At 37.9% G+C, this 26,088-nt stretch overlaps 1 long non-coding RNA gene across 1 annotated transcript in view, besides 1 other annotated feature; it reads right to left on the bottom strand.

The window, feature by feature from the left end:
- The window catches only part of LOC107984704 (uncharacterized), a 336,950-nt gene that overhangs the window by 72,020 nt on the left and 238,842 nt on the right, over positions 1-26,088 (bottom strand). The window lies entirely within an intron of this gene.
- Positions 941-2,140: an enhancer, noted in NCBI's record as "BRD4-independent group 4 enhancer chr14:82466331-82467530 (GRCh37/hg19 assembly coordinates)". NCBI's record gives its function as "activates an origin of replication core promoter dependent on BRD2, P300/CBP, MED14 and CDK7 cofactors, and independent of BRD4, by STARR-seq in HCT116 cells {active_cell/tissue: HCT116}" and the evidence as "EXISTENCE:reporter gene assay evidence [ECO:0000049][PMID:35650434]".

Genomic DNA, 26,088 nt, shown 5'->3' with positions numbered 1-26,088 from the left:
ATTTTCCACTTCTTGCCAATAAGATTTTCTTCTGCCCTGTGTGGTCTCTGGTCTGCTTCTACTTAAGTTAAGGGCATGGCTTACATGCATTCTTTTGAGATTCACTGGTCATTTTTCTCTAAAAAGAAGCATCCAAGTGATATATTGAAAGTACATCTAACCTTCCAGAGCCATATAGCAGACCTCAGCTGAAATGAGCAACAGAACAGCATTCCAGGTGGCTCATTTTTACCTTCTATTGTGAAGTCACCACCTCTGTGGTACAAAAGCCATCTATCCAATTTCAGATCCTAATAATAGTGGAAAAAATCTATTCCAGACAATCATTGGTGAGACTACTGCATTGTGACTCAAAACACAGAACAAAAATAAGTACATTTTCAGTTAAACAGAAGCTGATGTTCACCTGCTTCCTTTTTTATGTACACACACACACATGCACGTGCACACACACTCACACAGACAATTCAGCATTCACTGCATGCAAAAGAGAAGGAAAGTGATTTTGAATTTTACTTTGAAAAATGGATAGAAAGATTGCTTATCAATTCTATAGCCTTTAGATGAGGAATTGAGGTGAATGTTTTTTCCCAGCATGAACATGTCTTCAAATATGTTCATCTCAGCAAGCAGAAATGTGAGTTACAGTTTGAAGATTGAAGGGTAACTTCTAACAGCAATATGGGTTACTGACTCAGTTCTAAAGCTAAAGGGAAAGTACCAAATCTTGGATGGTTCAATATTTTATAAGTGATTCAGAAAACTAATTTCAGTGCATGGACCAAGAACAACCAGTGGGGGTGAGTTGGGTCTCTTGTAGTAACAACTTTGTCACTCTGTTTGGGATTAGAATGAATAATTTGCAATAGCTCCCTTTACTGATCGCTCATTTAAAATAGGACTTCTTTTTTTTTATCTAAAGGCTGGGTCTCACTCTGTCACCTAGGCTGAAGTGCAGTGGTACAATCATGGCTCACTGCAGCCTTGAATTCTTGGGCTCAAATGATCCCTGCCTGAGCCTCCTGAGTAGCTACGGCTATACATGCCACCACACCCAACTAATTTTTTATTTTATGTTTTATCTGTAGAAATGAGATCTCGCTATGTTGCCCAGGCTGGTCTTGAATTCCTTGCCTCAAGCAATCCTCTTACATCTACCTCCCAAAGTTCTAGGATTGCAGGTGTGAGCCACCTCACCCAGCCTAAAATAGGCATTTTAATGTACAAATGATTCACATAGGTCCCTGGTAACATTGAATATTCTGACTCTGTAGTCTTCAGCAGGGCTTGAGATTCTGTACTTCTAACAAGATCCCAGGTGATGTGGATGTTGCTGTACCACAGACCACACTTGAGCAGCAAAAACTTCCAACAGACCAATCATGCCTCTAATACCAACGACAATTTTGTTTCTTAAAGTGACAAGAGGTGGAAAGGATTTGGTAGATACAAAGGCTTTGTGTTCTCTGAAAACAGATGCCATGTATTTATTTTATAATCACTTCCTATCCTTCTTTGCTTACAATGATCAGAACATTATTTGGGAGATAAATCATAGGTCCCTGAATTTATACAGTCAAAATACATTGTGAAAATATTAAGGATTGAAACATATTTAAAATCACAAAACCTCAGAGCAGGGAAGGCCTTCAATGTTGATCTGATAAAACCCTAATTGCCCTGGGTAGGACTCCCAGAATGGAGGAGACTTGACCAAACACTCAGTCTTGTCAGAGAACAGCTAACACTAGAGCCCAGTTTTTCTCACACCTACAAAGATAAGCTTGGTTTACTTTGAGTTTATTATTATTATTATAGAAAAGAAACCACAGTAACAATGCAGTTTGTTTTTCCAGCATTTTTCATTAACTACAACTATATTTTGTCTGCATTTCTTGAGATATGATAACAATAAACATACATATTCTCATTTTATAAACTGAGGAAATTGAGATGGTAACAGAATAAGCAAATAACTTGCCTGAGGAGACACACACACACATAGAGAGTGACAGAGAGAGAGAGAGAGAGAGAGAGAGAGAGAGAGAGAGAGAGAGAGAGAGAGAAAGAGAGAAAGAAAGAGAGAAAGAGAGATAGAGAGAGACAGAGAGAGAGAAATACATGGGCAAAGCTACAATAAGGATTTTCTCAAATGGCATTCTGACCTGTCATTAAGCCAAGTTATCTTCTCCTAGCTTATTGTTTTATATAAACAAAATGTGATTAATAAAACAATGTGTTTTATTTTTGTTACTTTTTTCTTTGTTTTCTTCCTTGTTGAGTTTGGCCAGTATGCAAGCATTGATCTTCTTCTCATATGGCGCTATACTGTGCTTTTTGTTTTCATCAAAATAATTAGTTGCAGCTCGGAAGATATAATTCTACCAGCACATCACAGAAAATCCTGCTTTCTGCCTTCCTTAATGAAGTCAGGCATCATGGGAAATGGAAATACCAGGGAAAAGAACACGTTGTAAAGTATAATTGCTTTCAAGAAGAAAGACCTCCCCAGTGAATCCATTTTGGATTAAATGCTGTAGAACTTTCTCTTTCTTTTTTTAATTTCCTGGCCCTTATATAAGGATATTTTTTGCAATACCCAAACCTTCTGCAAGGTTTGTCTGCTTTCGGGGTTGATAATGTAGAAGATGGACTAAGGTCAAGAATGAATTTTCAACCTTTTGCCCTTTGTCCCAAGAATACTTTTCAAATACCACTCTTGCCAATGTTTTCATGATGAATTAGTAATGTTATCTCTAGGTTGTCCCCACTCCACTTTGACGCCATCCACCCACCTCCAAATCCTGCTCAAAGTTTCAGCTTTTCATTTGTTCTATAGTCCCCGGCTCCCTTGGCCGTCCATCTTTGAGTGTGCCATGCTTGTTCCTGCCATGAGACCTTTGCCTTTGCTGCTCCTTCTGCCTGGAATATTCTTTCACCTCATCCCTACCTAACCCATTTATGCTACCTCCTTAGAGAGGGCTTCTCCAAACTCCCAATCTAAAGTCACCCCCAGCGACTCTCACTCACGGTGCTCAACTTTCATTCTCTTCCACACATTTGTTACTAATACTTCTGTGATTCATTTAATTTTCTTCCTCTCATAATAAGAACGTAAGCTCCATGAGATCAGGAACCCTTTCAACTAAGTTTTGTTTTTTTGGGGGTTTTGTTTGTTTGTTGTTTTTGTTTTTTATGAGACAGAGTCTTGCTCTGTCGCCCAGGTTGGAGTGCAACGGCACGATCTCGGCTCACTGCAACCTCCTCCTCCAGGATTCAAACGATTCTCCTGCCTCAGCCGCCTGAGTAGCTGAGATTACAGGCACCTGCCACCATGCCTAGCTGATTTTTAAATTTTTAGTAGAGATAGGGTTTTTACCATCTTGGCCAGGCTGGTCTCGAACTCCTGACCTCAGGTGATGTGCCCGCCTCGGCCTCCCAAAGTGTTGGGATTACATGAGCCACTATGCCGGGCCCCTTTCAACTAGGTTTCAACATTAATTGGCACACAGTAGGTGCATAATAAGTGTTGGCAGACTGAGTAGACTAAATCAATCATAAGGTATATATTGAAATTCACAGAATCCTAGAGCAGCCAAAAAACTAAAAGGTGATCGAATCCAACTACTTAATTTCCAGAACTATAAAACGAGCTCCACAGAGAGAAAAATGCCATTTTCAAGAAGGATTTCAGAAGCCACAGGAGGGGAAAGATGTCTTTTGTTATTTCTTTCAGCAAATATGTTAGGTGCCAGACATTAACCTGGATTCTTGGGAATCAAATGATGGGGGAAAACAGGCATGGCCTTTGGCATCGTGGCAGTTAGGCTGAAATGTGGGGGATGAGAGAGAGGAGGAATCAAGATTGGGCTATCCTGGGGGACACAATGGTCCCCTCAACCCATGAACTAGTAAAAAGCTCCCTAGTCTCAGAGACAAAGAAAACTGTATAACTATATGTATAACTGTATAACTATCTAAGACATAGCGAAGTACAAGAATAGGCGAAATAGGTGGTGCCATTGTGAAACCTATGTCAGAGTTCCATTGGTCTGTTACCCTGGAAAAACTAAAAGTTATCAAAATATAAACGAAGATGAAAATGGACTCCCAGTGCCATCTCTTGGTGACGTCTCCCACTACCATGGTGGAGTGGGCTTCTTCAACCCTGGAACCCACTACAGTCATGATTGCCCCAGAATTCATAAGGGCCAGATTAAAAAAAAAAACCTATCTGCAAGATAAACATATTAGACTAGGATTTTATTCTTTTGAAATGATTATTGAGGAGTTCCTAGGGAAAAGAAGATAAGCCAAACTGTGTCAGAGAAAGTTCTATCATTAAGAAGGTGCAGCAAAGTCTCAGTCAGCACTACTGAAGTGGCAAATTTCTAGAGACCCATGTATAAAAAGTATTATACAACAGATAATTATACTCCAGTGGATGTAACTTAATAATAACATAATTAGTGGCAGGAAAATAAAAAATATTTCACACAAGCATGAAAATCTGCCAACTTAAACAAATCCTGCTCATTGGCACATATTATGAGCTTAATCAAAATACAGTCTTGATTTTGGTCCCCATAGAAAGTAACAAGCATGGCCTCTTAATTATTATCAATGACCCAGGGGGATAAAATGAGCAGGTTTGGCTACAAACTTACCAAAAATCATATATTTATAATAAATTTAAAGCCTGATGGTTAATCTAGATTATTCTGGACAACTGTGCTTAGCTTTTCCGAGGCTATAAATGGAGGGGAAAAAACATTACTATGTTTCAGTTATTCGAGTCTCAAGTGAATTTGTTTTCCCTATTGAAGTGTTGAAAATGTTTCATCCACCCTATAAATTTAAGAGCCATTGGTCTTGGTTTAGGGAGCCACCAATCCAAAATAAACAAAAACGAACAGTTTCTCCTCTCTGGCTGTGTCTGGATAGTACCAAATTGACTATCAGTTTCAAAAATAATCAGTCAATTATATGAACAAGTCAAGTTGCTGTTAGTCCTACAGACATAAGAAATGAAGACTGAGCAAATCTTTCCATTTTTCCACTAACGTTGCTAGGTCAAGCGTACAATTTTTATAGTGTCTATCAATATCAAAGGCCTGAATCATAACATCACAGTTCAACCCACGATAGAATATTCAATTCTTCGTGTTCAGAGAAGTCTTCTCTATACCATGTAGATGAAGCTCATTGGCCTTCCTGCCATTTACTCCAAGGCATGGCTCATTTTTTGTAAAGGACCAGATAGCAAGTATTTTATACTTTGAGGGCCATGTATGATCTCTGCCGCATATTCTTCTTTGTTTTGTACAGTTGCTTAAAAGTAAAAATCTATTTTTAGCCCATGGACCATACAAAAACAACCACGGGCCAGAGTTTGCCAACCCTTGACTTACACCCAGCATCAAAGTATATTAGGTATGCACAGTCCAAATAAAGAGTGGAGGCAATAATGTTTTCTTCTTTTTTTGAAGACCTATTGTTGCTTGTAAGGAAATTTTACTTTGTTATTATAGCAGGAATAATTTTTTAAATACATTATACCAATGTCTTTTCAGTCCTTCATTGTTAGTTGAAGTAGCACTAGCTGATACAAGAAATGAATACAAAAACCTCAGTGGGTAACACAATACAAGTTATTTCCCTCTGCACAAGAGAATGGGCAAGAATTGTCTAATTCATACAGGTGTGCAGAAACCCAAGCTGACAAAGGATTAACTAGTATTAATACAGGATTAATTAGTATTAACCCTGGGGCCAACACTGATGTTAATATCCAGGTAGCGGACAGATAAAGCACACCCATGTATTAACCATGTCAACTTGGAATTGATAGACAATAATTCTTTCACATTTCACTGGTTAGAACCAGTCCCATGGACACACTTACAAGGGTATATAAGTGGAAAATATCAATGTATGCTGAGCATCCAGGGAAAGCTCTGTGCTGTAGAAGGTGAGCACAAATCTGGAGTTCTCTACCCCATCTGGAACTCCTAATCGTTTCCAAGTGTCCTTAGGATCTATGCCCATCAGCAAATTATAGCCAAGGCATTTGTAATTGCTTCCATGCCAAGAATAAGGGAGCCATTGCCTAATTTTTGTTTTATCAAATTAAACTTCCATATATCCATAATTAAACAGTATTTCTGAGCCAAGGCTTCAAATAAAAGGGTTTCCTGAAAACTCAGAAAGCTGGATTTTTAATGTAATACAAAGCAAGCATCAAAGTGTGACTATATAGTAACTACAGAAAAGGAAGGAAATGGGACATGACATAAAGAAAGTTCCTCCCCATAAATAAAGGGAAAAGCTCTTTGTAGCCTGAGACATGGGAAGGGGGAAAGGAGAGTAAGTGGAGAAATAGAGAGATTTAGAAGGAGCAAGACAAAGATTCAATGCTACTTCTGTATTCAACAGGCTCTGCATTCCCTGGTTTTTGACTTACAGCAAGGAGGCATGCCAATCTGAGGCAGTCAAAGTGGAGCGAAAGAAAGGTGTGGTATAACAAGACAGAGAGAAGGACTAAGATGGTTCTCCCAGCAGGGGACAGTGTCTCACGCCTGTAATCCCAACACTTTGGGAGGCCAAGGTGGGGTGGATCACCTGAGGTCAGGAGTTCGAGACCAGCCTGACCAACATGGAGAAACCACATCTCTACTAAAAATACAAAAATTTGCCAGGCATGGTGGCGCACGCCTGTAATCCAAGCTACTCAGGAGGCTGAGGCAGGAGAATCACTTGAACCCAGGAGGCGGAGGTTGCAGTGAGCTGAGATCGAGCCATTGCACCCCAGCCTGGGTGACAACAGCAAAACTCCGTCTAAAAAAAAAAAAAAAAAAAGATGGTTCTCCCATTTCTCCAGTGACCAACATTTTGTGGCTTGCAACAGATCCAGGAGTTCTCATATACTCCAATGAGGAATAAATAAATAGAGACTAGAAATCCACTGAATTATGTCCATAGTCAGAACAAAGAAGGTGCAGAGTTCATGAAACTTGTCCGTCTGTAGCAAATATTAGAACAAGTCACCAATCAAGTAGGAGCAGTTTCTTTGCCAACAAACACTAGCACAAATCCAGAGGCTACTGCACTGACCAGAGATGCCTCTCCTCTCCATGACTATGGGTTTTAGCTCTTCCCAAATGGGAACAAAGAGAAAGAAAAGGGCTGGTGATATGGTTTGGCTCTGTGTCGCCACTCAAATCTCATCTGGAATTGTAATCCCCACGTGTCGGGGGGGACCTGTGATCCCCACATGTGGAGGGAGGGAGATGACTGGATCATGGGAGCAGTTTCTCCCATGCTATTCTTGAGATAGTGAGTGAGTTCTCATGAGATCTGATGGCTTTATAAGCAGTCTGGCATTTCCCCTGCTTGCACGTCTCTCTCTAATCGCCATATAAAGAAGGCCTTTGCTTCCCCTTTGGCTTCCACCATGATTGTAAGTTTCCTGAGGCCTCCCCAGCCACGTGGAACTGTGAGTCAAGTAAGCCTTTTTCTTTATAAATTACCCAGTCTCAGGATCACCTGGGGTCAGGAGTTTGGGACCACCCTGGCCAAGATGGCAAAACCCCAGATCTACTAAAAATACAAAAATTAGCCGAATGTGGTGGCGCACACCTGTGATCCCAGCTACTCGGGGTGCTGAGGCAGGAAAATCGCTTGAACCCAGGAGGCAGAGGTTGCCATGAGCCGAGATCACGCCACTACACTCCAGCCTGAGTGACAGAGTGAGACTCCATCTCAAAACATAATAAAATTTAAAAATAAAAAAATTATTCAGTCTAAGGCAGTTCTTAATAGCAGTCTGAAAATGGACTGATTCAGATGAATAAGGGAGATAACAGAAGCCAGAAACGTTGAGTTGCCCCTCAACAGTGAGGACACTTTAAACTAGAATTGTGGCTAAAAGAATAATACCTAAATTTGACTGCAAATTTGACCAATTTGGACTGAATATACCAGAGTGCCATAAAATAAGTTGTCTGCTCTAGACAGCTTGAGAGAACTTGAGAACAAAATGGAGTTTAAGTATAAAAAACTAAAAAGTTATATTTCTGTGCCCCTGAGTGATCATGTGTAAATGTATACCTGATACACTATGTTGATTTTTGCTAAATTGTCTTGTTCCCCCTCAAGCTGAAGGCAACATGTCAAAACACTTCTACCTATTACAATAAAGAGTCTTTTAAGTGTAATCCCAGGATGTTACATAAAGAAGAGATCTTCAAAGTAATGTTAGATTTCCGAAGTTGTTATAAACACAAGCTTCAGATTCCCAAAATCTGTGTGCAGATCATAGTTGTACCATGTGCTGGCCACGTGCCGGATCTTCCTGCTGGCCAATAAGATCTTGGGCTGCTTACTTCAATGTTGAGCCTGAGTATCCTCCTTTATAAAACGGAAATAGCATGTACTTCACAAAGGTGGCTGTCAGTTTAATAAAGATATGTATGTAATACACTTACCACAGAACCTAGCATGTGATAAATGCTCAAAAAATGATAGCTGGAACCAGTCTAGCCTCACATTTTTCAGATAAGGAAGTACTGAGTCAAAAGTTTTAGCAGTTCATCAAAAAATAGCATCTGCTGTTCAAAGAATTAATTATATTTTTCAGGTTTAAACAGGGTATTCATTTCTAGAAAATAGGTCAGAGTCCTGTATCATAATTGTTTTATTTTCATTATCAGGACTACCTTGAGGGGCAGGAAATTCAATTTGTAACCATAACTGGCAAAGAGAGACATTTACGGGGTATGCATATTCCATGGATATGTTTCAAATTTAAGACCAAAATAAAGATAGAGCGATAATACTATACTTGCAACGCAAGGATTTTTTAAAGCACTTTAGTTGAAATTTTGGAAGTTTACTGTTGATCTCCCTAAATATGACCAAGTTAATTTTCAAGGCCAAATTAGTCCTCAGCCCTTAACAAGAACTCCAAGTTCCCATAGATGGAGCTATGACTGTAGTAGTGGTATGCAGTGGTAATGGCAAGAGCTGACATGTTATCAAGCACCTTCCACGTGACAACACTGTGGTAAGCATTTCACCCCGCATAAGCTCATTTTATACTTAAAATTTAACTCTTAAAAGATGTGCTGTTACCATTTCCATTTTAACATGAGGAAGCTCTCAGAGGTGGCCCATCTACATGGTTGTTTAGAAGCCAGGATTTCACCCAGAATTTGACCCAAAGCTGGTCTTGATTTCCTTTTTGCTCAAATCCTGAGCAATTTCCTCTGTACTTCCCAAGAACAGACAATGGTAACAGTACCCTTTCTATTTCCATCAAGGTCTTGGTTTATCAAAAGTATTGTTTCCTCTTCTTCAAGCTATCATGTATTCCATTTTTAATTAATATTCATTGTTGCATAAACAAAGGTGAACTACAACTACCTCTCAGCAGTAAAAACCCAACTACCCTTGTCCAGGGTGATCATTAAGTGATCATTAAGTCCTTCCTTCCTGAAAAGTAGCGTGGCTGCAGTCACACAGGCTGGAAATGGCAATGGAAACTGGAACCCAAGTAGTCGCTCTACCTTCAAAAACCTCATGTTTGACCATTATTTCTTTTTTTTTTTGAGACGGAGTTTCACTCTTGTTGCCCAGGCTGGAGTGCAATGGCGCCATCTCAGCCCACAGCAACCTCCGCCTCCTGGGTTCAAGCAGTTCTCCTGCCTCAGCCTCCCAGGTAGCTGGAATTACAGGCATGCACCACCACACCCAGCAAATTTTTTTTTTATTTTTAGTAGAGATGGGGTTTTCCATGTTGGTCACACTGGTCTCAAACTCACAATCTCAGGTAATCCAGTCACCTCAGCCTCCCAAAGTGTTGGGATTACAGGCGGGAGCCACCATGCCCAGCTTATTTCTTAATTGTATTACTAGCTATGGCCTCAGTGGGGCAGCAGTGGTAATAAGAGAAACTTCTAGATCTCTGATACCCTATCCTGACTTCAGAATTAGGCAATCTTTGACAAAATCAGTTTCTTTGAATCTCTGTTTCTTCATCAGCAAAACTAGGACTTAAAGCACCTGTTCACTTGAGTGTTCAGAAGCTGCAGTGTGGTGATGTTTGTGAAGTGCTATGGCATCAAAAGGATGGATGGTCCCAAAACGCTGGAGAAAATACCACACCTGTGAAGGTCGGTTGCCAGGCTGACGTCAGTAAGGAAATGATGTTATTTCCTGGTGCAAGAATTAGTTCCAAAATAAATGGCAAAATTAAAATAAGAGACTCTTGGGCAAGAGTCTCTATTATTTTGTACTTTACCTAATTTTTGAGGCATTCCTCAACACCATCTTCCTTGTTTTCAGATCCTAGACAGTTTTCCATGGATCAAGTGCAAAAAATGATAGTATCTTTTTTTTATTCCTTCAGAGGCTTTGTTTTTCATATTTTGCTTCTTCCTCATGGTATCATTCTTCTCCTTCTTTTCCAACAGTGCTCACTTATGGATGATGAACTTTTGGCAAGGATGAACTAAAGCCACTTCTTAGTAGTAAAAATCAGACCACTCTTCTCCACGGCAAATTCTCTCATCCTTCGTAACATTTTCATCTCAGCATCTTTCAAGTGTCTTCCCCTCTTAAGATGAATATCAGTAACTCTAGGGTTGAGTGGAAAGAAACTAACAGAATCACAGACACTTAAAACTGGAGTCATCTTAGCTATCACCAGTCTCCTCTCTTTCAATTCACATTCAGTTATCAGCGAATTTTTAGCATATAACTAAGCTAGAAGTTTATTGCATTGATGCATTTAATTTTATATAATCCTCACAACAATTCCATAAGCTACGCTTATCCTCATTTTAGGGAAAAATGAAACAAAGGCTAGGAGAGGTTATTTGCTTGTCAAATAGTTAGGCAGTAGCAACACTGTGCCTATACTAACGGTTCCTCTCTTCCAGGTCAGGAAACCAATTTGTTTTAAATTCAGGCCAATCACTGTACATTATCCATAATATCCAAAGCATGTTGCCCAGATGAACTAGCCAGCAACAGGCTGAAAATCAAATAAATACTAACGTAAAATGCTAAATGCCAAGGGTAACAGCCTTCAAAAAGAAAATTCCAATTAAATAACAACAAAAAAACCCTCTTTTGTTGTATATGGTTTACATTATGCTGTAGCTACATTTCTAACAGTGAAGACTGGTGAAAAATGTTTCTCCTCAGATATTCTTAAAAGAGAATTCACCCAAAGTTGCATTTTGCTTGTTTCACTGGTAGGAAGGATGAGATAGAGAAGAGAGACTGATAAATTATTTATGAACAAGACTGCTTCACTGATCAGATTTGGTGATGAAAGCTTCTTTGAAAACCCATGAGGAACATTCTTAACGGAAATTATATGCACTTCTCTTGGGTTGTCACTTTTTTTTTTCCCCTGCTATTAGTTTGATTTTGGCTTCGCAGTCACCACTGTGCAGAAATGTAACAGCAAACACAATGAAAAGCCTTTCCACATGATTATTTTCGAAAGTAATAAGACATGTGTGACCTGGAAAATCAGCCCTTCCGACGTGTCAGGTAAGGAGGTAGATTATTATATTTTTAAAAGCTGCCTTTATCTTTGCATTGTGCAGGAACTCAGAGGCAAACTTTTAGGAGCTAAGGATGGACTTTTGCTGCCATCTACTGGTGTGTGATGGAAGAGCAACATATGCTTCTGAACTTTCTCAAATGGCGATGAGAGAATTCAAAGTTGGGAGATGAGGGAAAGCGTTCTTTTGATTAGGTATGAAAGTCCTTGTAGAGAGGAATTTCTACAGCCAGTCATGGGACCATAGGTACCTTCTGCTAGAGAATTTTTAATAGCAACCCTCACCTATAATCTAATTATTTTACCCATGAGAAGGGCAGTCACTTTCCCCTCATTTCTTCAACCACAGTAAATCTGAGCATCTCTATATTCATATTCATTCCCTTGAAGCTTAAAACTGAAAAGGAATAGCATAACCATTTGGTTACTCATATAAGCTTTTGTTGTCAGAACAAGCTCTGAACAATTATAAGCTGCCTGGAAATTCAGGAGTTATGTCACATCTTTAAATATTATTTTTCTTAATACAGAAAATGGGCAACACTTCAGTGCCATTGTTCATCCATTCATTCCATGTACACTTACTGAGATGCTTGGCATGAGGATTAAATGTGGTCATACACATAAAGTTCCCTGCAAATACCTGACACACATAAGCTCCCAATAAAGGCCAATCTTCACCTCTTAACATCATCACCCCTAACTTCTCTTCATGGTAAAGTGACTAATGATTTCAAATTTGTAATATTGAAGGGAAGAAACTACCCAGAATGAGCTCATTGGATCATAAGTTTCCCTGAGAAGTTAGAAATCTACTTTCTGTGCCTCAAGGAAGGCTGTAACAAGAAGAAAGGATGGTGACGCCAAAAGAGAAAGACAAGTATGTTGATCAGAAGATTTCTGCATTGAGTCTATACGAATGGTAGGATATATCTGAATTCCCATCCAGTTATCACAATAGTCTCAAAGAAGGTGAAATGATTCGATAAGACTTGGAAGTTTAAAAGAATGAATGTACGTGGAAGATAAAAATTATTATACTCAGGTTATTTCACTTTGGTTATACATATTTGTTTTATGAGCAGCACTTTCAATTTGGCCAGATATGTAGATTCAGGAAAAATGGGAAGTTATGCTCTTGGGAGGGGGAGCAAGAAGGAAGTAGAAACAGAACCACTTCCTAATGAATTTCAACAGGCGAAATATGTAAGTATGTGAGATTTTTAAAGCACTTACTTTATAATAGCCTTATAATCATCACTATTAAAAAGATTTAGGAAAATAATCATGCCATACTCATAAGACTTCCTCCAACAGGTCCATTATATGCCTACACTGTACTGTAGTCCGTTAAGTGTGCAATGGCAATAAGTCTGAGAATAACAACGTACATACCTTACTTTTAAAATGCTTTATTGCTAAAAAAAAAATGCCGACCATCATCTGAGCTTTCAGTGAGTTGTAATATTTTTGCTGGTGGAGGGTCTTGCCTCCACATTGATGGCTGCTGACTGATCAGGGTAGTGGTTGCTGAAGATTGTGGTGGCTGTGGTAAGTTCTTATAATAAAACAATGGTGAAGTTTGCTGCATTGATTGACTCCTTTTCTCATGAACTATTTCTCTGTAGCATGCAACGTTGTTTCATAGCATTTTACCCACAGTAGAACGTCTTTCCAAACTGGGGTCTATCCTCTCAAACCCTGACATTGCTTTATCAACTAGGTTTATGTAATATTCTAAGTTCTTTGCTGTCATTTCAACATTGTTTTTCTTTGCTCGTCCATAAGAACAACTCTTCATCCATCCAAGTTTGATCATGAGATTATAACAATTCAGTCCCATCTTCAGGCTCCACTCCCAATTCTAATTCTCTTGCTATTTCGATCACATCTACAGTGACTTCTTCCACGGAAGCCTTGAGCCCTTCAAGATCATGCATGAGGGTTGGAACTAAATTCTTCCAAATTCCTGTTGATGTTGATATTTTGACCTCTTTCTACAAATCACAAATTCTTTATGGCATCTAGAATGATAAATTTTCTCCAGAAGGCTTTCAATTTACTTGGTTCAGTTCCATTAGACAAATAACTACTTATGACAGCCATAGCCTTACAAAATGTATTTCTTAAAAATATGTCTAGGAAGTTGAAATTGCTTCTTGTTCCATGGGCTGCAGAATGGATATTGTGTTCACAGGCATAAAAACAACATTTACAAGGTGTGCATTCTCCTTGCACACCTTTATATAGCTGTTGGGTGACTAGGTGCATTGTCAATGAGCAGTAATATTTTGACAGTAATCTTTTTTTCCTGAACAAAAGGTCTCAACAGTGGGCTAATATGTTCAGTAACCATGCTGTAAACAGATGTGCTATCATTTAGGCTTTGTTGATCCTTCAGAAGTTTTCTTTCTGCTGGTGACTCACAAAGGTTTTTGCTTTTTCTTGTTTGTTTTTGTTATGGTAGAATTCCTTTTTCAAAAAATGATATCACACTCATGTCCTGATATGTAAAAGAAAAAAGACACACTGAATTAGCTGAAGCAGCAGTGGAGACCAGGAAACACCAAAATGTCCCCAGACTCGCTCCTACTGCACTACAGAGGAACCAGGGGATCCCTGGAAACCTGTGAGATCAGTGAGAAAATCACTTATTTTGGCCATTTGTATTTTTCCAGCATGAACTCTTCTGGAAATAGCCCTTACCTGAGCAAATGGAACCATAAACACCAATGGAGAAAGATGTAGAACTTCTTCTCGTGCCCTCGCAGGCATCTCGCATTGTCAGGAATTGGTTCTTAGGTCACAGGTGATGAAAAGACTCAATATAGACTCTACTTGCAAGCATAGAGGAATTTGAAATGCTCAGTTCACCAACTCTCATACTTTGTTTAGTTGTTTGCTATTCATTTAGTTGATCCTCAAACTGCCGGGGTTGGGGGGTGGTGTGAGACATATGGAAAGTTATTCAACGTCGCAAAATGGCATAAGGAAGTAAAACAACTCAGTTGTGCACCGTTGTGGTAATTGGAACGTGTTTTACAAGCCTTGGAGTTCCTTGGTCCTTGGGCCATAAAGCCCCAGCTATGTGGATATAAGTTGAGTCTGACAGCTAACTAATAAAATATGTCTTAGGACAATAGACTCACTTCCTAGCCTACTGTCCTTCCTTATGCTAACTAGTCTTTTATCTTCAAAGGCTGAGAAAATGATGCTTCTGCTCATGATGAAGCTGTTGTTGGTGATGCCAGTGGTGGTGCCCTCTAAAAAGTGTGGCTTTGAACTTCAGCCAACAGCACTAATTTTGCTTCTTGAATGTGTCTATCCAAAGAGCTACTTTTTCTAAATAAAGTTACATCAGCATATGGCAAAAAAACTAATAATTTCAGTACTTATAAAGTAGCTCCTTTTGAGTACACCAGTAAAAATGTTAAATGTTTTGGCATGTGTATTTTATTCCTTATGTTTGTAGTGGTTAAAAATCATTTTTCTTATCTCTGTAGAAGATTAATCCCAAACTTGCATAAGCATTTTTATAGTTTGTTCGATATAAGAATTACATGGAAGTTTTATTGTTTGAAAGTTTTAGAACACATTCCAAGCTATATTTCTGTTTTCAGTGGGTCATAATTTTTAATTTCTATAATTTCCTTTTTTTTTAATTCTGTATGCTCTGTTATGCCACTCAATATTAGTGATTGCTTCACTAAAAGTTTTCTAATTATTCTTCATTTGTAATATAATCTAAGATGTTTAAAATACTATTCTGGTTAGAATATATTGAGTTTTTTAGAAAACAAAACTTTTCTGTCATCTGCCAAAATGTTTTCCATAAGTATGAAAATATTCAAAAAAGTTTTATTTTTCCAGTGAAAAATAAACCCAACAGTGAAATCAACCCAATAGTTTCCTGTTTGGTCTCTGAAAAGGGAAATATAATATAAAATAATCTGAAAACCTCTCATATAAGTAGATGAAGTAGAAGTACAAAATTAGCTGGTTGGCTGGATAATTGTAACCTTACAAAGAATAAACCATAAAGATGTAGTCTAAAATTCCTTCACCATGTCCCATATAGGTATATATGAATAAACAAGCCTTGCAGGAAAATATTTACTTTGATTTGTATGTGACAATTTATCTCTTATTTAAGCTGCTCAGTGGTTGAACCCCCTTTCATATTTGGAGAATTCCACAGTTTATTAGTTTGAGTGGACAGCAAAGACCTGCTTTAGAAAATGGCAATGCTCTCTGATTGCTTTTTTAGCATTGCTTATTTACTTGACATTGACTGAGGGACCTCCAGTAAGATTTATATCCTGGTTTGACTTTGACCCAGTAGCTAGTGATGCAAGAGAGAAAGAATGGAGAGCTCTCTGTTTGTTCATGGCAGCAGGTACTGTGTGGGATGCAAGGTTGAGTGTCTGGTCCAGAATTAGTAGTCATACCAACTCTAGAATCTGGTGTTTGGCAGTGGGGACAGCAGTTTGCTTGACAGATATGTTCTGAGTGAGGCATGCTGGTCTTTTCTTCTGTTCTCCCAGTAATTCTGTGAGCTACACGATAAAATAAATTCATTTTGCTTGAACTACTAGACACAGCTTCTCTGCTTGCAGTGAAGAACTATGAATTAATTCCTCAAGACCTTTGAACCACAAGAGTTACCATTTACTTGTACACCAGTTGGGATTTTTCAAATTGACTTAGGTTTACCTAGCCAACACCACCTTGCTCCTCATATGTTAGAACTTAGCCCTCCTTTTTTTCATACCCAACATTATTTAGCCCAATGGCATCTAGGAGTTGTGTGTATTAAGTCAAAAATTGGTCAACTGATTGAATAACTGATCAAAGACAAAAAGAGAGAAAACGATTAATTCTCTGTTCTGTCTTTGCTGTCCCACATAAGATTGTTTCTTTTTAACATAGTGATCTAAAATAGAGGTTAAGTAACTGCTTTAAAATAAGGTTAACTAAATCCACATCCTTGGTTCTGCCTCATCTCAAGCTTGTATATGTAAAAAGCCAAGCTCAACATCAATTACCCCGTTAGGTCTAATGCAACAACAAACGTGAGGCAAAAGTGATTTCATTATTTTTATGCAATGCACTGAGAAGTTGGCTATGGCTGTCAGTCCTCCTCAGGGTATTTACACCAAAAGTCAATGTACAAAAAGAAACTAACATAGCAATTTATGTATTTCACAGTGCATTCATGGGGAATCTGTTGTTCACATAGAAAGTCTACATGTCTTTGATTTTCATCACCAACATTATATTCTCTGAGATTCCAAGTGAGAGAACTGGAGCACTCACATTATGTCACCTGCAAGTCACTGGCAAGAAAAGTCCAAAATCAGGAGATAGTCAATGACCACAGCTTCTTGCAACACAGAAAGTGGGAAGTCTCAGACTAAGCAGTTTAATAAAATTAAACTTAGCAAAAGGATGATTTGAATTATTTGTTCAAATGAAATAACCCATCAAATATTGAGTTAAGAATCAGGGAGTGTGAAGGGGTCCAGTAGGAAGTGTTCAAAAAAATATTTGTTCAATGAATGAAGAAAGTCATTTTCAAAATATTCCATAAATAATAATGTTATGGTGGGGGCTAAATATAGATGGACAATCTTCCCTATCATTTCTTTGAAACTCGATTAACCATCTTACCGTTTTCTACCTGCCATTCACACACTCTCTCTCCTCGTCTCATCCCTGAATATTTAGTAACATGTGATGCTGCAGTCCACATGCAAATCCAAAAACATTAATGGTTATTATCCACTACTTTGAAACAAACTGTAACTTGCAGAAGGTAGATTACACAATGCTGCATTAAAAAACAGCACTGCTCTGCCTTTCAAATAATGGTTTGCAAACATTTCTCCTGTGCTGCGGTGGAGGGATTTGGAGATGGGGGTTGTAAAGGCCCTGCTATGTGAACTAACTGGGTCACAGCAAAGAGAGCAAACTCCATCTCTTGTAGTCAACAAAACAATGATAAATGTTGTATTTCATTTTCTAAAGCATCATCTTTCAAGAAAGTAGCCAAGCAAGTAAAAATTGGATATCTCAGCCTAAATAATACTTTATTTCCACCTGCCACTGATACTTGCTGCTGACAAATTGGTATAAATATTTGAGATGCTAAAAAAAATTGAAGTCATTGTGCAGAAACCAGCAAATACATTTTTGAAGAGATGAAATGGAGTTGGTCTTAATAAGAGGCAAGACACTATTCACATAGAGATAGGGGTTTCTACGTCTCTCTATGGTTCTAAACTTCCTTAGGGGAGGAGGCCCTCTTCCTGGGGCAAAGTTCTACCATATTACTGATTTGGACACCTCTTCCAGTTAAGTGTCTCAAAGACAGATTTAATTTTTATTGAGTCTAGCCATATAAGATATTACATTAAATATTTATTAAGGAATAATGCCTTTATTACTTTTTAATTAATTCTTGAAGAACACCTTTTGGTGTTTTAAAATTGGTTAACAGTAATAAAAAGCCCCAGAATAGAAAGAGCAAAAATGAAGGATATTATAGACAGGCAGTGACAGGAGTACAGGTTCCTTTCAGCTTCCTTGGGTTTTTCTGAAGCCAAGCTTCTGGATTTATGCTTTGGTTCCCTGAGGAAGCTCTTATTTGCAGAATTATAGTACTATTATCTGGGAAGAAGTGCTTGGTAAATAAAAGAGACTTTCTGGTCAGAAAGACCTGGGTTCCAGTCCTGGCTCAGATAAAGTAACCACTCTATGCCTCAGTTGTCTTCTCTGACAAATGGGGGAAAATCTAACACTTAATTTAAATGTTTGTTTTTAAAAAGAAATAGGATAAAACATTAAAAAGCACAATACCAGGTATGTAGTAAGCACTCAACTAATATTAGCCACCACTAGTATTAATATTTTTATTTCTTCAAAACTGATGCCAGATTATCCCAGGGTCTGCGATTATTTTGCTGCTGCTTTAACATCTAAGTCGGCCGGGTACAGTGGCTCACACCTGTAATCCCAGCACTTTGGGAGGCGGAGGTGGGTGAATCATCTGAGGTCAGGAGTTTGAGACCAGCCCGGCCAACATGGTGAAACCCCGTCTCTACTAAAAATACAAAAATTAGCCAGGCGTGGTGGCGGGTACCTGTAATCCCAGCCACTCAGGAGGCTAAAGCAGGAGAATTGCTTGAACCCCAGAGGCAGAGGTTGCAGTGAGGCAAGATCATGTCACTGCACTCTAGCCTGAGCGAAAGAGTGAGACTCCATCACAAAAAAAAAGATCTGAGTCACCTAGTCATCTAAGATTTCACTCTACTTCAGCTCTATTTCCTAAATTAACCATCTTATGTATTAATATCTTCTGATTTGTGTGTCAAGGTTTATTTTTTCACAATTAATTTTTCTTTCCCCTCTTAAAACAGCATTACCACCGATGTAGTTTTTCAAATTACAGCTTTCATAGCCTTAACTTACACAATTGCCCAAATGGCCATCTTTTTCTCTTCTTCTTTAATTACAGTACATATTTTTAAAAAATCCTTGGGAGGGCAATTCTGTTCTTCCATCATTTATGAAAGTCCATCTCGGAACAAAACGGGGATAAAAACAGACTGATAATTGGTTTTGTGCCAACGGTAAAATGTCCCCACTCTCCTCTTTACCCTCAGCTACTTCTGTAGTTATCCTCAGTCAGGGCTGTGTGAATGGCGAAATGTACTAATTTCAAAAGTCATGCTGGCCTTTGGATTAAATGAAGGTAAACTAAATATGCCTCCAGCCCACCCATTCTCTAGTCCCATGGACACTGAGGACCACCAAGTACTCTACAATTTGCAGTGTAGGATATGAGACGCTGAAAAACTTGGAAATGAATGCAACTTATTCTGCTCTAACCATATGGGTTCCTGCCAATTTCATCCAGGGAGGCGGAGCGTAAGAGAAAGGGGGAAATGGCAAGGCAAGGAGAAATTTCCTTCATGTCAGAAATGTAAGTTTATAATTAGTCACAGAGAACAGACATAGTGAGCACAAAAAAAGTATTACTATTTGTTTTTACTTTGTCTTTTATATCATGCTTTCTCTTCTCTGCTTCAATCCAACTTTATTTTAAGAAAATAAAATCTTAACGCTGAAATTTACCAAGAAAATGTATTTCAGTTCAAATAAAAACCAGCGAGACTGCTGGTTCTTTCATCAATTGTATAGATATCCCACTGAGTAACAAGTTTAATGGATGACACAGGAATGTTTTAGCAGATAGATTATCCTAAAACATTACCATCTTCTAGTGCACATTAACATAACTTTCTCAAGCTGTGGAATTCATGACGAGTTGGAAAGTTTGCTGACTCCATGTTTTCCTAAGACGGCCTTAAAGGAAGACTCCACATACCATTAGCTCTTTCCTTTTATGTAGTGGTTATGCTTCACCATTTAGAAGCTATTTTCTCTTCCAAAACAATAAAATAAAATAAAGCTGCTTTCTTAGTCTCCTAAACTGGGAGGGACCATCGGCTTTGATGATACCAACCAGCATAAATGTCAAAATCTCTTTCCATATACTGCTACCTATAAATTACTGAAGGCTCGAATCTGCCTGGAATTGGGAAATTTTAAGTGTTTCAGGCATAAGAATCAAAATATTTTTATAAAACTTTTACTGAGCACTTTAGCATATTGTCTGGGACTGAGAAATTATGTTAAAGTAATTGTTTCATTTAATGGGCCTACGATCCGCTGACAAAGGTACTATTATTTCCCCCATTTTTTCAGTTGAGGCATGCATATTGGGAGACATGTCCCAATGCTAAGCAGCATGCCCCAAAATAAATGGAGAATACTAATCAAGTCTGATTCCAATCTCATTTCCTTTACCACAGAGCTTGGCTTGTTGTCAGTTAATAGAGCATAACAATAAAAAGCATCTACAAATATTTCTAAGGCACAGACACTAAGAAGATAATTAACGTGAAGGAAAAGGAATACTAGAGATGTGACGGAATAAAATCAAACAAGGATGGAACCTATCCACATCAACTGCCCCCATCCCTTTCTATGTCAAAAAATAACCACGCTGAGATCAGAATAAAGGACTCTTTGTTTCCATCTGCAGAAGATAAACCATCACGCATCTGAGGCTGAGTTTTGGAGCTGCCACTCTCTTCCTGTTTCCCTGCTTGAGGGTCCAATTAAAATTTAACAAAAAAAGCTGGAGTTTGTGTTTATTCGTTACCAATAGCTATATATTATTCACTTTGATTTCTCTAGGCATAAAAACAGTTGGTCTTGTAGGAGGCAAGACACAAAGAGAGCAGTGGCTGCTATCTGCTCAGATCATAGAGGGCAGCCTGTCAGCAGAGAGCTTAATAAAGCCATTGCTTACCAAGAATGCTTATCAACTGTAGGGGTTGAAGGCCACTGAACCTTGTGCAGAGTCAGCATGGCCAGAGCTCAATGGAGTGCCTTTACATACTTCCCTCTGACAGTATCAGTGTCACAACTGCCAGTGCTGTCTACAAGACACCAAACGCCCCTGTTATGAAAGCAAATAATTCCACTAAACAACTGGAGACACTGGAGTATCTAAGTGCTAAATGAATATCCAAATGAGTCAACCTTTGTATCATTTGATTAATTATAAAGTGCTAATCAAGTGTCAGGTGGTATTAAAATACACATGGCTTTCAGATATTACATTGCAACATCTCAACAACTCGGGAAGGTTCGTTATATTGACAGTTTTCAGATAACAGCATGGTATTCCAAATATTTTCTCAGAGGTTTCAGGACCATGAAGTAGTATAGTCTGGATGGAATTGTAGATCTTTTCATTCTCATTCCAACAAGTTTTCCACTGTATCACAGCTAGCGCATTTTTGTTTTTGTTGTTGTTGTTGTTACATGGATATCTTCAAACACAATAATGCTGGAGAGAGTTTATATCACTAATATTAAACCAATCTCATGGCTATATCTTCATGTGTTCGTTTGTTATGTTAATTAAATAAGAACAACAACTTTAGGTCTTCAAGGTTCTGTGCCAGCCTGTTATATTTTAATTGTCCCATACGTGCTTATAAACGCCAATACACTGCACCCACAGTCACTTTTTTTCATGTCATTTTTTCATACCACCAAGTCAAGAATTTCCTATATCTGCCTGGAAGAAATTAGTTCAATGTCCCTATTTTCGCAAAATCTGAAGAAACCCTAATGAAATGTAATAGCCCAAAGTGAAAGAATATATTCCATTTCCTTGAAAGCTACTGCCTGATTTTCTTTAGCCATGGTCTGGTGTCTTTGAATCTGTTGGTTTATGGACCTGTGCTAATCTCATTGTATTAAAAACTGTCTAGAGTTCATGTACTTTATTAAAGCCAAGCCCTTCTTGTCTACCTTTTCTGTCCAGGTGAGAACTGACACTTTTGAAACTGAAATAACCCAAATGTCTGAGCCAGAACAGTCTTTCTATCCAAATTACTCACGTGTCCCAAACTGTTGGTGAGCTGGAGTTGAGTGGCTCTTGGATTTCCTTGTATAGTCAGTCCCTCCACTCCAAGCAGTGGACTTATGGGTAATGTGGTGTGAAGCTTGCTTTTCCAATTGGAGCTGTCTTTTCAATTCCAACCATAGTCAATGCTGATTAAATGTCATCACCTATAGATCAATTTTTGATCCTAAAATGCCATAAAGCATACATCTATGAATTGTTCCAAGGAGGTGACCATCAGCATCTCAAAAACCACTACCAGCAGCATGTTTCATCAATCAATATATGCAATACTTTCTTTAAAATTCTGAAACAAGTCCAAGTTCTCCCAAACTCAAAGTCAAGTCCAAATGCATGGAAAATGTTAGTGATTTTTCCCCATAATTGGCTCTGTTTCATCCCTATTTTGTAAAGATTTAGAATTTCAGGTAAATAATGTATTTAATGGTTTTATTTGGTAGCATCCGAAAAGCCAGTTGAAAAAAAGGAGGCTTATGGCTGACTTTTCTTTTTCATTCATAGATTGTTTAGCTCCAAATAATTCTAGGGTATAATTTCATGGGAACAACAACAACAAAAAGTTCAAATGACCACAAGCACGCAGCATTCATAAAATTCAGTCAACTGCTATGAAAAATGCAATTTAAGTGAGCAAACTGAGGAACTGTAATCTGGACTAAGAAGTGTCCTTACTTAGAACAAAAGGCATTAATCAAACTGCAAATCTATAAACCAGAATAAAATCTAAGCCTGCAAAGAGAGCTTAAAGCTGAAAAAGAAAGTTTACTCTTTATATATTCATTATGAAGAAAAGAGTGCTCTCTAATATTGATTCTTATAATTTATACTAACAACATTAGAATACATTCAAAGAAGAAAAAAGCAATTTTTACTGTGGTATCAAAATTATGGTATTCTTAAATACAAAGGAATTGGGATGATTTTTGTTCAATTAATCAGAAAATTTGTTTAAAGAAGAGAATAATAAAAATTTAGGCAAACATACATTAAACTTTTTTTTAACCTTAAACACATAAAGAATAACTCAGCAATTTTTTTTTTTTTTTTTTGAGATGGAGTCTTGCTCTGTCACCAGGCTGGAGTGCAGTGGTGGGATGGATGTTGGCTCACTGCAACCTCCACCTCTTGAGTTCATGCAATTCTCCTGCCTCAGCCTCCCAAGTAGCAGGGACTAAAGGCATGCTGGTCTCAAACTCCTGACCTCAAATGATCTGGCTACCTCAGCCTCCCAAAGTGCTGGGATTACACATGTGAACAACGGTGCCCAGCCTAAGCAATCTTTTGTTGAAGGTCAAGCTCTCTTCTTTGAAAGCATATCCAATAAATGAAATTTTAGCCTACTTTTCTTGCGTAACACCATATGTGTTGTATCATCCAAGACTCTCAGTTCTCATTTCTTTAAAGAAAAGAGGGAATTTAGGCAGTTACAAAGCAATCTCAATGCAAGATCCTTCTAGATATTTATTTTTCTCCAGTCTTTTAAAAACTCTCACCAACATCTAATTTGATTTCATATTGTTGACAATTTATCTTTATTAAGTGTTTAAAAAGCATTCAACTTAGTTTTACAGAGACAAGTTTGTTCTCTAACATATGATTGATTGGCTTATGTAACATTAGGTAAATTACACAATTAGAATAATGGGCACAACTGATAGACAAGTTTAGAAACAAAGACAACTGACTCTTAGTAAATATAAAACGCAACTGGAGGGTTTAACTTTTATGAAAGTTCAGCATACTGGGGCCATCAATCATATGCCTATATCTGTTAGCTATTACCATAATCATGCAATAAACACATAACCATAGTGTCTCATAACAACAAATATTTACATTTCTGACTCACAGGTTTCTGGATACTTTGGGGTTCAGCTGAGCTGGTTTCAGACTGCAGGTTAGAATAGGCATGCTTTCTGTATCTCACTCTAGATCCCAGAATGAAAGGGTAGTGGCTACCTGGGACCTGTTATTTTCATGATGACAGTAGGACAAGAGAGCCAAGCTAAACCATAAAAATACATGTCAAGTCTCCTCTTACGTCAGATCTACTAGCATTCCATCAGCCAAAGTAAAGTCATATGGCCAAGTCCAAAGTCACAGAGAAGGAAAGCACACTCAATCTGTCATTGGGCCATGTCAAGAGAGTGGCTCCAGAATTCTCTAACAGGTGAAGAATTGGGGCCAATATCTCTATCTACTCCAATGTTTTACAGAGTGAAAAAGCAGAGTGTTTAATCCAGGGAATCTGTTAAGTGGAAGTCAAGAGACATTTGATTAGACTTAGGGTCAAATGAAGTAATGAATACAATGAACTCTACTTTTATTTCTTGGTTATTCCATTCACTAATCCATATAATCAACAAAAGTATATCCTGTGCATTTTATGCACCTAATATTCTGGAGATATGAAAAAATTAAGTAAAAAGTTTCCTTTGCTCTTGACTGCCTAATGGATTATCTATGCTGAGAGATAAAGAAGAATGATTCAGACTAAACAGTAAAACAGAAAAAAAATGTGATTCTTTGACTTTGAATGCCTTTAGGAAGACAATACATTTAATTTCATAATATGCTTCTGCATGAACTAATGATAAAATCAGCTAACATGCTTTGATTATTGTTAGCAGCAAATTATTACATACTGTCTTTTACCTCCATCCCTTCAGATTGTCACACTAGGTATATTAAGTGTGTGTGAGAGAAGAAGGACAACATACTCCCTGAGACTAGGAAATCCTGAAGTGCTCTTCAGACGAAGATACCTGGACAACACCAAATCAATAAACAGGTGCATTTAACAAAAGAGAGAGGTTTTGATAATGGGAAACAGAACAATTACTATCCTGAAGATATTTATATTTCTCTTGCAGGCAAATGTTAAGTACACTTACAGAGGTTACATACGGTAGAGGAAAGAATACTGTATCATCAAGGATTCTCCCATTTCAATTCCTTAAAGTGGAATAAGAACTTAAACCCTCAGGAAAGAGACTGTGAAATTCTAATGTTTACTCTATCATTAGTGATGTCACCTTTGCCAAAGCATCTAACATTTGTAAGTGTTGTCTTCCCTACAAACTGTCCCTACTTGCTCTTCCCCTCCCAAGGCTGGGATAGATGGAACCCTTTGATTCCTTTACATCTTAATCCTATCTCTATTACCTGAACTATTAAATTGCTTTATAATTACTGTGCATATATTTGCCTCTTGCACCACCAAGTTTCTCGAGATCAGAGCCAATGTCTTATGCCTGTTTGTAAAATAAATCTATGAAAGAAAATAAGACTTATTGATGATTGGTTTAAAATACTCAAAACTCTACTATAGCCACCTGTGAAATTGTGTGAAAATCTTTTTAAGTTCATTTTGACTGAAGAAATCCCAATATTTTTTTGAGAACAACTCTCAATCTCTGCCCCATAAAGTATAATAATTTCTATTATAGGCCCCAAGCCCCAATTCAATAGAGCACATTACTACTTTATTTTTCAACATTACATTTAAGCTCTGGCCTGGTTATGTGACTTTGAAAATAAAATTCAGGCCTTCAATCTGTCATCTTTTGCTTGTAGACAATGAAAATGCACAAAGATGAAAATCTTGATGCTTCATGGACTCACCATAATGCTGTGCTAATACAACAGCCTGTGGAGCAGGCCTTTGGTGTGACCCAGAGAAAATGCTTGAATATTAACTTTAGAAGAGAATTGAGGTGTCATTTGATCTAAGATTGTTTATTTTATAATTAAGAAAATTGAGTTCCTAAGAGATGAAGTGATTTGCATAAGGGTACCATAAGTCTTATAAACAACAGGCCTGGGACTTACAACAAGTCTAATGTGTATTTTTTTTAATGAGAAGGGTGGAGAATTACTCAATATCTTGCTTCTTTGCATGCCACACATATCACTTTATTGTATTTACCACCATGAAAACTCTTCACAAACATTCATCACTCCAGAATTCTCTACCTTAATTTATGAAGAGCTGCGCAATGATGGA

The sequence above is a fragment of the Homo sapiens genome, chromosome 14 (genome assembly GCF_000001405.40).
Source record: "Homo sapiens chromosome 14, GRCh38.p14 Primary Assembly".
In the NCBI taxonomy this organism is placed as follows: domain Eukaryota; kingdom Metazoa; phylum Chordata; class Mammalia; order Primates; family Hominidae; genus Homo; species Homo sapiens.
This window is presented reverse-complemented; position numbering and strand designations above follow the sequence as displayed.